Here is a 14138-nt window from a genome sequence, read left to right on the forward strand (position 1 = left end):
GCAACTGTATTTTTAAGTATATTATCCAGTGGCTTTTAGTATATACATAATATTATTCTACAAACATCACCTAATTGCAGACTATTTTAATCACCTTATATCCGTTAAGCAGTCATTCGCTATTCCTTTCTCCCCCTAGACCCTAGCAACCACTCATCTGCTTTCTGTCTTTGTGGATTAGCCTATTCTAGACATTTCATATAAAGGGAATCATGTAATATGTTGCCTTTTGTGATTGGCTTCTTTAATGTTTTCAAGATTCATCCATGTTGTATCATGAATCATCACTTTACTCCTTTTCATTGCTGAATAATGGTTCCATTATATGGACATTTCCATTTTTTACGGAAATGTCTTATGTGAACATATGAACATTTGTGTACAAGTTTTTCATTGAACATCTGTTTTTAATTCTCTTAAGTATATATATTTCAAAGGAGAATTCCTGGGTCTTGTGGTAATGCTATGTTTAACTTTTTGAGGAACCATCAAATACACAAATTATTTTTAGACCGCAGGTTCCACTTCTGTGAAATATGGAGATTTACTCATTTAAAAAATATTAATTGAACACTTTCTACAGGCGTACTGGACACCTGGGGATCCTTTCATGGGGTTGGGAGGAGAAAGACAGATATTAAACAAATGATTATACAGATAACTGTCTAATTAAAATTATGATAATTTCTATAAAGTAGATGTTTAAGGTGCCATGAGAACTGAGAGGGTATCTATATCCAAACGAGTGTGGAAACTCAGGAAAGGCTTCCTTGAGTAATACTTTATTGTAACTGAGTGAAGTAATACAGTAATAGCGTCTAATATTTATTGAGTGCTTACTATCTGCCAGGCACTATTCTAGTCTCACAACCATGTTTCTGATATCTATTTTACAGATTAGTAACTGAGAAATGGAGAGTTCAAAGAATTTACCTTCAATTCATAGCTAGTGAGTTGTGAGGCTGGCATTCAAACCTAGGCTGTCCCACCTTAGAGCTCCATTACAATATTCTTGTCTTTCCAAGGGAGGCAGCCTTATGCACAGCCTCTGAGGAAGGGTGGTACTTACTGTTTTGAGGAAATACAAGAATACGAATGTGATAGGAGTGCACTGAAAGTGCCACAGGACAGGGTGGGATCTTGTGGAAGGAGAGAGGCCTATGAAGCTCAAGAGTCAAATGAGGCCAGATTGGTTCATTTAAAAGATTTTAATGGGGTTGAACTACATGCATGTTCTTCATGTCTTTCTCAGTGGGAATACACTCAGAGGAGTATTTACCATAGAACTAATGAAACTTAAACTTCAGGATTCCTCACTACGTGGGATCCTGTGAATTCTGGAAATTCTTGTGAGTTATAGTGTTCAGAAGAGGCCAGGATGCAGTCAGTGAGCATTTCTGGTTAATTTCTAAGAGCTCTCAGAAGAAGAAGGCTCTTAAAATTGTATCAGCTTTAGGTATCACAAAACCTGGATCCATTTCTTAACATTTCTGGCAACAATATCTGTCTCATTTCGCATACTGATTTGGGTGGGGTGTCTGAAGGAAGGTGGCTGAGAATTGCTGTCTTAAGGCATGATATGATATCAGAGTCAAAAGACCCTGAAATGCGCTTATACTTGGCACTAGTTGGTAAGTCATTAGGCTGTAATAAAAACTGGGTAAAAGTAGACTATTTAAAAAATAAGAACCATGGAAAAAAAGTCTATGAAAATAAAACTATACAAACTTTGAAATTATTGTTCTGATCAGTACAGTTATATTTGTTGATAGCCTATGTGCATTTCAGTATTTACAGCTTAGGGCATAAACATGTAGCCGTAGCATAAACAGCTTTTGAAACTATGTTTTATAAATGTGGAAAATACTCTTGACTGGAAACTTTCTAATCTATTTTTATTCTTGGTTTCAGGCGCCTGATCACAGATTCAAAAGTTAAATTAAAGTATCAGCATTTAATAACAAATAGCTTTGTAGAGGTAAGTGATTTGTTTTCCTTCTTGTAAGAAGGAATTCTGTTTATTAATAGAAATACTATTTTAAAAATTATAATTTATTGACAGTAAAAAACATCTTTAACATATTTATGAAGCATGCCAAAATACCTTTATTCTCAAAAGAGTATGACAGGCCAGGTGTGGTGGCTCATGCCTGTAATCCCAGCACTAAGGGAGGCCGAGGCGGGTGGATCACCTGAGATCAGGAGTTCAAGACCAACATGGCGAAACCCTGTCTCTTCTAAAAATACAAAAATTAGCTGGGCACAGTGGCACAAGCCTGTAATCCGAGCTACTCGGGAGGCTGAGGCAGGAGAATCGCTTGAACCCTGGAGGCAGAGGTTGCAGTGAGCCGAGATGGCGCCACTGCACTCCAGCCTGGGTGACAGAGCGAGACTCCCTCTTAATAAAAAATAAAATAAAATAAAATAAAAGAGTATGAGAAACCAGTAAGTACATCTCTCCATAGATCTTGACCTTGGATAATAAAATTATTTTTACTGTATTCTTCCTTTACTTTTCTTTATCCCTAGCTGAGAATTGTAGTAGATTACTAATCGTGTCATGTTTAATCATGTTTGAGATTCTAACCCTGCTATTTCTCTGCTCGTTTTAGGTTTCATTACCAGTAAATCTTGTTAATAAAGAATGCTATCCTTTATTGGACCATGCCTTTGCCCATTTGTTCTATGACTCCTTTTGTGCTACAGTGGCAGAGTTGAGTAGTTGCTACAGAGACTGTTCTGGCCTGCAAAACCAAAATTCTTTACCCTCTTGGCTTGTTACAGAGGAGTTTTTCAGCCCCTGTATGACAACATCAGTAACTTGGTCTTTTAATTCTAGAAAGTAATTATTTCTGTTAGAGATTAAACCTGGAAACAGCCTATTTTAGAAATAGTGTATTATTTGAAATGGTCAATGGACTTCTGAATTCTGGTGCAGAGTGTTTTTTTTTCATAATACTATAAAAGTTATATTTCCTTTTGAGGAACTAAAATGCAATCTTTGCCTGTGGTTTAGGAACTGGGTTTTTTGTTTGTTTTTTTTTTTCCTTCTTACAAGAGCTTTTTATGGGAGAAGTTGTATGTATATCCTTTAGCCTATCTTGAACTATTCTGTAGCTTCTAAACACCTTCCTTGATAAAGAGTATATCTGATTTTCTTGTGTCTTTTGAAAATTGTTCTGAAATAGAACTGTAAATAAATTAGTGGTTTTTAATGGTCACATACATGATATTTAATTAAAGTTATTCAGTGGGATTTTGAAGATAGAACAAGAGGTGATTCATGTATTTTATAAAACCAGGTCTTCAGGGATCAGTCATCTTTAAAAAAAAAAAAAAAAGGCACATCTGAAGTGTTGCTATAGAAGACCACAGCAAGTTTTCATAAGCTTGTGTAATTATCCCCCATTTGCCCCTTGTACCAGAGAAGCAATATAAATAGCTTGATGTACTAGGAAATCTTGCATCATGACCTAATTTAATTTGCTGTCTTTTTTTGAGGCAGGGCCTCATTCTAACACCCAGGCTGGAGTGCAGCAGATGATCACAGCTCTCTGCAGCCTCTACTTCCTGGGCTCAAGTGATCCTCTTGCCTCAGCCTCCTGTGTAGTCGGGACTACAGGCACATACCACCATGCCTGGCTAAATTCTTTTTTCTTTTTTTTAAGGTAGAGACAAGGTCTTGCTATGTTGCCCGGGCTGGTCTGGAGTGCTTGACCTCAAACAGTCCTCCCGCCTTGGCCTCCCTAAGTTCTGGGATTATAGGTGTGAGCCACTGTGCCCAGCCAGCTGTCATTTTTTATTTTCTAACTTGTATTTCAGTGCAATCGACTGTTAAAGTGGTGTCCTGCCCCAGATTGCCACCATGTTGTTAAAGTCCAATATCCTGATGCTAAACCTGTTCGCTGCAAATGTGGGCGCCAATTTTGGTAAGCAAGTGATTTCCTAAATTGAAATAGTGCACAAAGCGTTTCCATTTCTCCTGTTTATTCTTGGTAGTAAAATAGCAGAAAAAAAGTGTTTACCTTAGGCAGGGAGATGTTTGATACTGGTTTAAAATAGTATATATCTCTTTCAGAATTGAATGAAAAGGTCACATCTTAAAAAAATTTTTCCTCTTTCCTTGATGTTCTAACTTTTTTGAATTTTTTTTTATGGAGAAAATATACAACTCTAATCATATCTTCCTGTATGCTCCACTGTAACTTAATGGGAGCAAACTTGTAGATCTGGGACTATACGTTTTTCTTTACTCTGCCAAATTTTAACCTTACTTATGCAAAGGAAATGTGCAGGTAAATTCTGCTGATGGTCTCCTTTTTAACTAAGAGTTTTCCTGTGGCTCCTCTCGCCCAGCTTTCTTGGTAACTTGGGCTTTTGGAGTTCTATAGTATACTCTTCAGCCTCTGAATTCTAGATTTGAACTGCCAGGAAGTTTCCAGTGCCACATATTAGGGGATGTCTTAATCAGTTCAGGCTCCTTTATAGGTGTTCTAGTTTTTTCCAAAGTGGATAGGCTGAAAATTTTTCAAATTTTTGACTTCTTATTTCCTTTTGATGAACAGTTTATCTCTAGGTCATTCATCTCTTCTTGCATTTTCTATAAACATTCAAGAGAAGCTAAGCTGCGTCTTCAACACTTTGCTTAGTAATTTCCTCAACCAGATATTCAGTTTCATTTCTCTACCTTCCACAAAACAATTCAGCCAACTTCTTTGCCACTTTATAGCAAGGATGGCCTTTCCTCTAGTTTCTAACAGCATGTTCCTCATTTTCATCTGAGACCTCATCATAATGGCCTTTACTGTCCATATTTCTAACAACATTCTGTTCATGGCCATTTATTTAGGTTTTCTCTATGATTGAGGCATTCCCTGCACTTCTGTCTTTCTGAATCCTCACCAGAATTACCCTTAACAATTCAGTTCATTCACAGTGATCTAGGCTTTTTCTAGCTTGCACTTCCAAGCTCTTCCAGCCTCTACTTACTACCTAGTTTCAAATCGGCTTTCACATTTTTGGTTTTGTTAGAACAGCACCCTCACTTCTTGGTACCATTTTCTGTCTTAATGTTCAGGCTTTTATAACAAAAGACCATAAACTGGGCGGCTTCTAAACAACATAAATTTATTTCTTACAGTTCTTAAGGGTGAGAAGTCCAAGATCAAGGTGCCAAAAGATTTGTTGTCTGGCGAGGGCCTGCTTTTCTGGTTCATAGATGGTGCCTACTTGCTGGGTCCTCATATGGTGGAAAGGACAAGGCAGCTCTCTGGGCCCCTTTTTTTTTTAAAAAGGATGCCAATTCCATTCACCTCCTAAAGGCTCCACATCCTAATACTGTCACATTGGTTATTAAGTTTTAACATACACATTTTAGGGGGACACAAACATTTATATCCTGCTAGAAGTTAAGATGATTTTCTGTTCCTTTGAGGGTCTTGAGGAGTAAGAAGCCAATCAAGTCAAGGGGCTCTAGACCCAGCAAATAGATTTTTTGTTTTGTTTTGTTTTGAGAGAGGGTCTCACTCCATCACCCAGGCTGGAGTGCAGTGGCACGATCTCGCACTGTAACCTTTGCTTCTCAGGTTCAAGTGATTCTTGTGCCTCTTGAGTAGCTGGGATTACAGGCGTGTGCCACCACGCCTGGCTAATTTTTATTTATTTATTTATTTGTTTATTTATTTATGTATTTATTTTTAATAGAGACAGCATTTCACCTTGTTGGCCAGGCTGGTCTTGAACTCCTGGCCTCAAGTAATCCACCTGCCTCGGCCCTCCCTAAGTGCTGGGATTACAGGTGAGAAGCACCATGGCCAGCCAGATTTTCTTTTTTGCTGCGGGGTGGTTTGGAGGGGGAAATATTTTATTGGTATTCCATACCTTTCTTTTTTTCCTCCAAACATCTATAGAATTACACTTAACACATCATTAATAATAAATATTTCCAAAAAGAGCAGGTAAGCTCACAGAGATTAAGTATGTGTAAAATACATACTGTTTCGATAAAGATTAATTATGTATTGTTATTTTAGAGAAAAGGTGGATAATACCTACTTTCCAATGTATTTTTAGCGTGACACATTTCAAACATAAAAGTATAGAGAATACAGCAGTGAATACCTATATAGCTACAATCCAGTTAAATCAAAATTAGTATTTTGTTTTTCTTCATTAAGAGATAAAACATGACACATATATTTGAAGCTCCTTGGTTCCCTGCTCCTTCCCATTCCCCATCTTTCTTTTCAGAAATAACCATTTATCTTAACCTGATTTAAATCAATAGTAGTTTGTTTCTGTCTTTAGCAAAGGACTTTTTGCCATTCGTAAATTACTTAATTAGCTAATTAATCTGTCATTTTATTATTTTTTTCTTAAGCATTTGTGTTTGTTAATTATACTTCTTTTACAAGTGTATATGTCATGAACTTAGAAAACAAAAGTGAATTACTGATTAACACATGTTTAGTGAGTATTTAGTCTTTTTGTTTTATACCTTGCCCAGTACCATTTCCCTCTACAGGGCGGAGGTTCATTTGTTTAAATAATGCAAAGATGTGACCTATTTGCTTCCCATATATTGTTTACTGTGTATTAGTACTAAATTATATAAGTAACCTACAAAGTCAGCCTTTTATTCTTCATTTAGGGTGTTAAGTAAAAGATTAAAAATGCACTGATGAAGCATGGGTTGAAACTTCTCAATATAGTCTGAGGCACCTTAGCAACAATTATTATGAAATTGTCATCAAAGCGTGTCTTCATGCTTATAGTCATTCTTCACACATATTGAGTACCCACTATGTGCTAGTTCTACTACTAAATTCTAGGTAATTAACTGTAAAGCAGACATGGGTTCTCTCCTTGTATTTGCCAGTCACTAGAAACTAGTGACAATACTGTGGAACTATAAGGCATGAAATGATTGGCTTATTTACTTGCTTACAGTAGGTAGGCCTTAATTCTATTAACTCTTTGTGTCACTTAACAGCTTTAACTGTGGAGAAAATTGGCATGATCCTGTTAAATGTAAGGTGAGTTTGTCTGACATTTCAATTTTTAAATAATGGCACACTTCTAAGACTTAGTGACTAAAAATCATAGCTGATGATTTTGTTATCTATCTATTGATAGATTTTTTTTTATCCTTTTAATTTCAGATGATCATTACATGTATTCAGAGGTAATTCCTTAGGATAAGCCAAGTCAGCTCCTGATTGTTATTAGGATAACCATGGCTAAGGCACCTCTTTGTCAGGCTTTGTAATTAGGGGAATACACACCTTGCAGTTGGGCTTCTCTTCAAGCTCTAGGTTCCCCACTCAGCTTCTGCCAAAGAAAATCCTGCTTTGGTTGATTTTATATATACTGGACATTGTAGCTATGGGATTTCCCTGGCTTAAGAGGATGTGAGCCTAGTGATAATCTTATTCATTGGCTTTTACATTTAAGCTTGACTATAGTTAAGTGCTAAAGTAATTTGCTATTTTTAAAAGTCTTTTGTTGTATCCTAACCGTTGTTATTTTCAAACAGTGGTTAAAGAAATGGATTAAAAAGTGTGATGATGACAGTGAAACCTCCAATTGGATTGCAGCCAACACAAAGGTTGGTGTTTTCCTTCAGTAACTCTTGGTAATAAAAATGATAAGGATTGGTACTTTGGCATTAGCAAAAGCAATGAGGTGACCTACTTACAGGCTTTGTTTCATCTTTTTCTCCATTGAGTCTTTTTTTTTTTTTCCCAGAATGTTTGCCTGTTATTTCCTTTTTCTCTTTGAGTTTATTTTAGAGTATTGAGTACTGTAGTACAGCATCCACAGTTCTCTGCCTTAGGTTTCTTCTACTGGAAAAAAAATTAGTGTTCTGTAGAGGAAAAAGCTGATAATTTTTCAAGTGTGGGATTTGTGCTTGGCTGCCATTTAGTATACAAATGCATTGGAGTTTACTCCGCCTAGCTTGGTTCTGTTAGGCTAATTTACATTTTTGTTTCTAATTTTTTGTTTTGAAGTACATTGCTCTTGATACTAGTTTCAAAATTCAATTTCAAAATTCACTTTCTTAACCCCAGACAAATGTCTTAGAAGTGTTTAAATCTTGAGTACCCTTCTCCTCGATCACTAATCTAATGAGCAAGCATTTGAATGCCAACCGTGTACCCAGCTAGTCTTTTAATACAAAGTCGTATTATCCATCCTTTATGTAATTCAGTCCTATCCTATCCCCATAGTGAGTGACTTGGGTAATGAATGGTAGGTTGGTTCATGGGCTATTCATTTTTAGTATTATTTTGTACATGTAAAGATGATGCTTTAAAGAATGCTGAGTTGTTTGACCCATAGTATATAAAGCTATCTTTGAACTGTTGCCTCAGTCATCACAGGACAATGAGATTAAGAAGTGTGTAAACAATGAAGGCCGACGCAGGTTGTCTGTGTGTGTTTAAATATACATCTTACATACTTATATATAAAACATGAATTTATATTTCTGTCTCCCAGAAAGTAGTGAAACAGTGAATCTTGCCACATAAAACAAATGCCCAAGTCTTTAAGGAATATATGGTAGAAATTAATATTTTTTGTTCCCTCCAAAACCATCACGATAAGCATAACTCACGTCAATCAAAGAAAACCTTACTATAAATATACTGTAATGTCAGAAAGTGGTTACTTGTTTTGTTATTAAAAAAAAATTCTTAGCCAAGCATTCTTTTTTTGAAAATTGAAGATTTTCCCACAAGAAATGTTCCTTAAGTCCCAGAATTCTTTAATATGCTCTGAAAAACTAATATTTAGAATAAGGCAATTATATTTTCACTAAATTGTTTAATTAAATGGTAGCCTTTTTTCTACATCTAGAGAAATTCCTACTTGTAAGCCCCAAAGATGTTTAAAATAGGGAGTACAGGCTTGAATATGTTTGGCTTAGTTTAGATTGTAGATTACCAAGGAAGAATGGCAATTTGTAAAACAAATTTAGCTGCTCAGTATTTTTGAGAGAAAACTGAAGAGTTTTTCTCTTGAGGTTTTAGAAGCTTTTAAGATTATTAGCTCCCTAAACAGATATGCATATTGTCAGTGATATCCTAACATTTTGGAGGTTTAATACTATTAGGTTAATTATAACCAAGAAATGTAGAATGTAGAATGACGCATATTTTATGCCTGAAATTTGCTTGTTTGGAAAAAATGTAAAATTTCTTATGTGGGTGATTTCAAAAATTTGATTTGAAATATATAATTAAAAAGTTGCTATATTGGCCTATTTTAAATTGCTATCATTGATGGGCAGCATAGTCAATTTCACAAAGAAGGCCAAATTGTGCAAATACTAATATAGTGGGTGATCCCTCCTTGGGAGAGTTACAAACCTCAATCACAAATGCAAAAACAAAAAATCCATAGGCCTACAGAGCAGTAATTTTGGCTTACTAGCAACCAAGAATATGATATGAGGCCAGGTGCAGTGGCTCACACCTGTAATCCTAACACTTTGGGAGGCCGAGGTAGGCAGATTGCTTGAGCTTGAGAGATTGAGACCAACCTGGGCAACATGGTGAAACCCCACCTCAACAAAAAATTCAAAAATTAGCCGAGCATGGTGGCATGCACCTGTAGTCCCACTACTTGGGAGACTGAGGCAGGAGGATGACTTGAACCCTTGAGGTCAAAGCTGCAGTGAGCCATGATTGCACTGCTGCACTCCAGCCTGGTCGACGGTGAGACCCTGTCTCAAAAAGAAAAAGAAAATGATTTGGACTTGGAAAAAAACAATCTAACACGATCTCTGTAGCATACTTGTTAAGGAGTACAATGAAAAGAATTTAAAACATGGTTATTTGGTAGGAGAAAGTTGGAAAATCCAGTAGCCACAAAATGAATTTACCAATCAAGGTCTGATTTCCTAGTTACCTGACACTGAAGTCAGATTGCTTGGATTTGGATCCTGACTTGACTTATGTGACCTTGGACTAGCTTCTTTATAATTTTTCTCTCCCTTAGTTTATTCATCTGACAAATGGAAATAGGAATAGCACCACTATAAGAATTATGAGTTGATGCATATAAAACACTGAGAACGGTACATGGGATATGGGAAGTACTCAATTATTTCTAGATGACACTAGAGAGTATAGTATATTTATATGAATAGAATGCTTTTATCTCCTATAGTACTGTTATTACTATATATATGACTAAAAGTACTTAAAATGATTTGTCTCTCAGCCCTACTTAAAAAGAAATCCTAGGAAGGCTGAAGTGGAAAGATCACTTGACTCCAGAAGTTTAAGGCTTTAGTGACCTATGATTGGGCCTCTGAATAGCCACTGCACTACAGCCTAGGCAATGTAGTGAGACTCTGTTTCTAAGTTTAAAAAAACAAGTCCTTAAATTGTTGTATGTCTTAAAAGCCAGTGGTAATAATGGTAACAGCTCATTTTAAATAGTGCTTAAGTGTTCAACACTGTTCTAAGTGCTTTATATGTATTAACCACAATAAATAAAATGTTTAAAAACAAACCAAATCTAGAACTGGCTTTTCCTTAATGTTAGTAATGCAACCTAGTGTAGCATTGACACCAACTTTATAGTTTCTCTTCATAGGAATGTCCCAAATGCCATGTCACAATTGAGAAGGATGGTGGTTGTAATCACATGGTCTGTCGTAACCAGAATTGTAAAGCAGAGTTTTGCTGGGTGTGTCTTGGCCCATGGGAACCACATGGATCTGCCTGGTAGGTTGGGGAAATTAAGGGAAGAATGTGTTTACATAAGTATGTGCCATGTATTATGAATAACATTTCTACCTCATAGATATCACCATCTAACTTGCAAGCTAAATAAATACATAGTGTGTGATTAATGTTATAAGTCTATGCAAGACATAGAGGGATTAGTTAGATATATTTCATAAAGGAGGTAACAATTTAGATGAACTTTAAGGGGACCAAGAGTTCATTAGTTATAAAAGTAGTAGGAAAAACATTTAGGGCAAAAGTTGCAACATGAGCAAAGGTAGAATGTTGTGAAAATACATGACTTTTTCAGAGAATAACTGTATTATCAAATGTGCCTCTCTAGGCCAAAATTGAAAACTCAGATGCTGTTGGCAAAACCCAACCTGCAGGTGGTTTTACTCTGCATATCATTAGACATTGTGGAATGCTTTAAAGCCTTGCTAAAAGGCTTTGTCATATTTTTTCTTTAAATAAGCATATATATGTTGCTTTCCTTGTTTTATTGATGACTTACTTGAACTAATATAAGAATCTTGGGCCAGGCACGGTGGCTCACACCTGTAATCCCGGCAATTTGGGAGGCCGAGGTGGGTGGATCACCTGAGGTCGGGAGTTCAAGACCAGCCCTGACCAACATGGAGAAACCCCGTCTCTACTAAAAATACAAAATTAGCCAGGCGTGGTGGCGCATGCCTGTAATCCCAGCTACTCGGGAGGCTGAGGCAGGAGAATCACTTGAACTCGGGAGGTGGAGGTTGCACTGAACCAAGATCGCCCCATTGCACTCCAGCCTGGGCAACAAGAGTGAAACTGTGTCTCAAAAAAAAAAAAAAAAAAAAAAAAAAAAAGAATCTTACACAGCATATGAAGCAGTTTTCTCACTGGTTAAGGGCATAAGCCTCCACTGGGTGACAGGCAAAAGTTTAAGCTCTGAAACTCTGTAGTTATGTGACCTTAAGTATGTTTCCCATCCTCTGTAAATTTTATTCTTCATCTTCTCAATGAAGAAAATAATGCATATTTCATAAAATGTTTAAGGGATTAAATGTGTTAGTACATTTAAAGTCATTAGCCAAGTGCATGGTATATAGTAAGCACTCATGAAATAGCTGCTCCCATAATGTAGGCTCCCATAACTGATGTATAGTAACCACTCCAGGGGAAGTGCAAGTCTTACTCATCTATGCTCTGAGCTGACCTCTCTGGGTATGTTTTCCCCTTCCCACCATTCTGTATATCATGCAGTTTTAAATGACTCTGAAAAACTGTAATAGCAAAGCACATAGCACAGCATCTGTTACATGGTAGGCTGTCAACTGTTGGTTCTCTGTGGTTTATAAAAGAGCAGATAAGGTGAATAATCCTGGAAAATTAGAAATATTTGGCTTAAGTAACAGATGGCCTAAGAGATAAGATTATCTCTTTCTCAAAAAGTTGAGTTAGGAATTCAGACAGTCAATAAAGGTTCTAGAAGGACAGTGTTTTCTAATAATGATAGGTGAGCTGATTTGAAATGGACTGCCTCAGGAGGTGGGGAATTTCCTATCACTGGATAGAGAACTAATTTATTATAGAGAGAATTCAAACACTAGATAGGGTTAGAACAGTTCCTTTCAGCCTGCTAATTCTGTCATTATAGCAGTAGAACCCTGGGTGTTTTAACATCTCAATTTCTCTGTTATAAAAGATAACGTTGGTGTTAGATAATCTGTAAATCCAGGTTAAAATTCTGATTTTTTTTTTTTCCTTTTCATTGATTTTTTTTTTCTTTATGGAATCCTCTTTATTTACTTGAAGGTACAACTGTAACCGCTATAATGAGGATGATGCAAAGGCAGCAAGAGATGCACAGGAGGTAAGTATATGTATAACAGGACAATAGTTGACTAAGAATGCACGTTGTATATTCATATTCATTAGAGAATAATTTTTTTTTTTTTTTTTTGAGACAGTGTCTCGCTTTGTCGCCCAGGCTGGAGTATAGTGGCATGATCTCAGCTCACTGCAACCTCCACCTCCTGGGTTCAAGTGATTCTCCTGCCTCAGCCTCCTGAGTAGCTGGGATTACAGGTGCGCGCCACCACACCCTGCTAATTTTTGTATTTTTAGTAGTCAGTCTAGTCTCGAACTCCTGACCTCGTGATCCACTGGCCTCGGCCTCCCAAAGTGCTGGGATTACAGGCGTGAGCCACCACGCCCAGCCCAGGGAATAATTGAGTAGAACTTTTCAATTCTGAAGGATTTGTGAAAGACATTCCAGTAAATATTGGATATCTATTTACATTTAGAAAGGGAATCTTATCCAAAATATTTATCAAGAACATTCTTATAGTAAGTTTATTTTCTTTTCATTAATGTAGTTACATAGCACATTTTAGCTTTTGGTAGAGTCTTGCTTTCAAGATCCCTCCTACCCCAAGAAGAACAGTAGTGAACAGCATTTGTTAAATGGCCCTGGTGCTATTTATAGGCAATATCTTACTTACTTAAATTTTTTTTAAACCTTTTTGTTCATCAAGAAGCGCTGATGATTATAGGTGAGCTGATTTGGTATGGAGTGTCTCAGGAACTGAGAAATTCCCTATTGCTAGGTAGGGAAATGACCCACTGTTATAGAAGGGATCCAAACACTAGGTGTGGATTAGATTCTAAAGCACTTTTCATTCCTTTCAGTCTGGTGATTTTATTGTAATTGTGGAACCCTGGAATTTAATAGTTCCTACATTCACCCATTCCATATTGAAATTCCCCAGTTGTCCCAGAAATATTCTTTTCAAATGATTTTCCTAGCCAGGGTACAATCTAAAATATGGTTTGCATCTGTTTCTTATTTACTTGTTAACATATCTTCAAAATGTATTTCTAATAAAAATATCATATATAGAAATGAGTATATATGTAACCTAGTCTGTCATATTGCTAGAAGTGAAAGTTTTGTCTTTCCCTTTTTAAAAAGACTGGGAAATACGGCCGGGCTTGGTGGCTCACACCTGTAATCCCTGCACTTTGGGAGGCCGAGGCAGGCGGATCACCTGAGGTCGGGAGTTCCAGACCAGCCTGGCCACTATGGTGAAACACTGTCTCTACTAAAAATACAAAAATTAGCTGGGCATGGTGGCTTGCACTTGTAATCCCAGCTACTCGGGAGGCTGAGGCAAGAGAATCGCTTGAACCCAGGAGGTGGAGGTTGCAGTGAGCCAAGATTTCACCACTGTACTCCAGAGTGAGACTCTGTCGCTAAATAAATAAATAAATAAATAATAAAATGACTGGGAAATTATATTTTGTAACTATAAATGATGTTTCACAGACCTTCACAATGTTTGGGTCCATTTAAGGGGAAAAAATCCCTACAAATTCCAATATTGATTTAAATTATATTTATTATAATATTATTTA

The 14138-nt window shown here is 36.7% G+C and overlaps 1 protein-coding gene across 1 annotated transcript in view; it reads left to right on the forward strand.

The window, feature by feature from the left end:
* ARIH1 (ariadne RBR E3 ubiquitin protein ligase 1) overlaps positions 1-14138 on the forward strand; it is a 128658-nt gene that overhangs the window by 85242 nt on the left and 29278 nt on the right. The window contains exons 6-11 of the mRNA NM_005744.5: positions 1912-1978; positions 3823-3929; positions 6992-7034; positions 7535-7606; positions 10606-10736; positions 12537-12594. Of these exons, the coding sequence (NP_005735.2) occupies positions 1912-1978; positions 3823-3929; positions 6992-7034; positions 7535-7606; positions 10606-10736; positions 12537-12594 (478 nt within the window). The remainder of the gene's footprint in view (positions 1-1911; positions 1979-3822; positions 3930-6991; positions 7035-7534; positions 7607-10605; positions 10737-12536; positions 12595-14138) is intronic.

The sequence above is a fragment of the Homo sapiens genome, chromosome 15 (genome assembly GCF_000001405.40).
Source record: "Homo sapiens chromosome 15, GRCh38.p14 Primary Assembly".
Taxonomy (NCBI): Eukaryota; Metazoa; Chordata; class Mammalia; order Primates; family Hominidae; genus Homo; species Homo sapiens.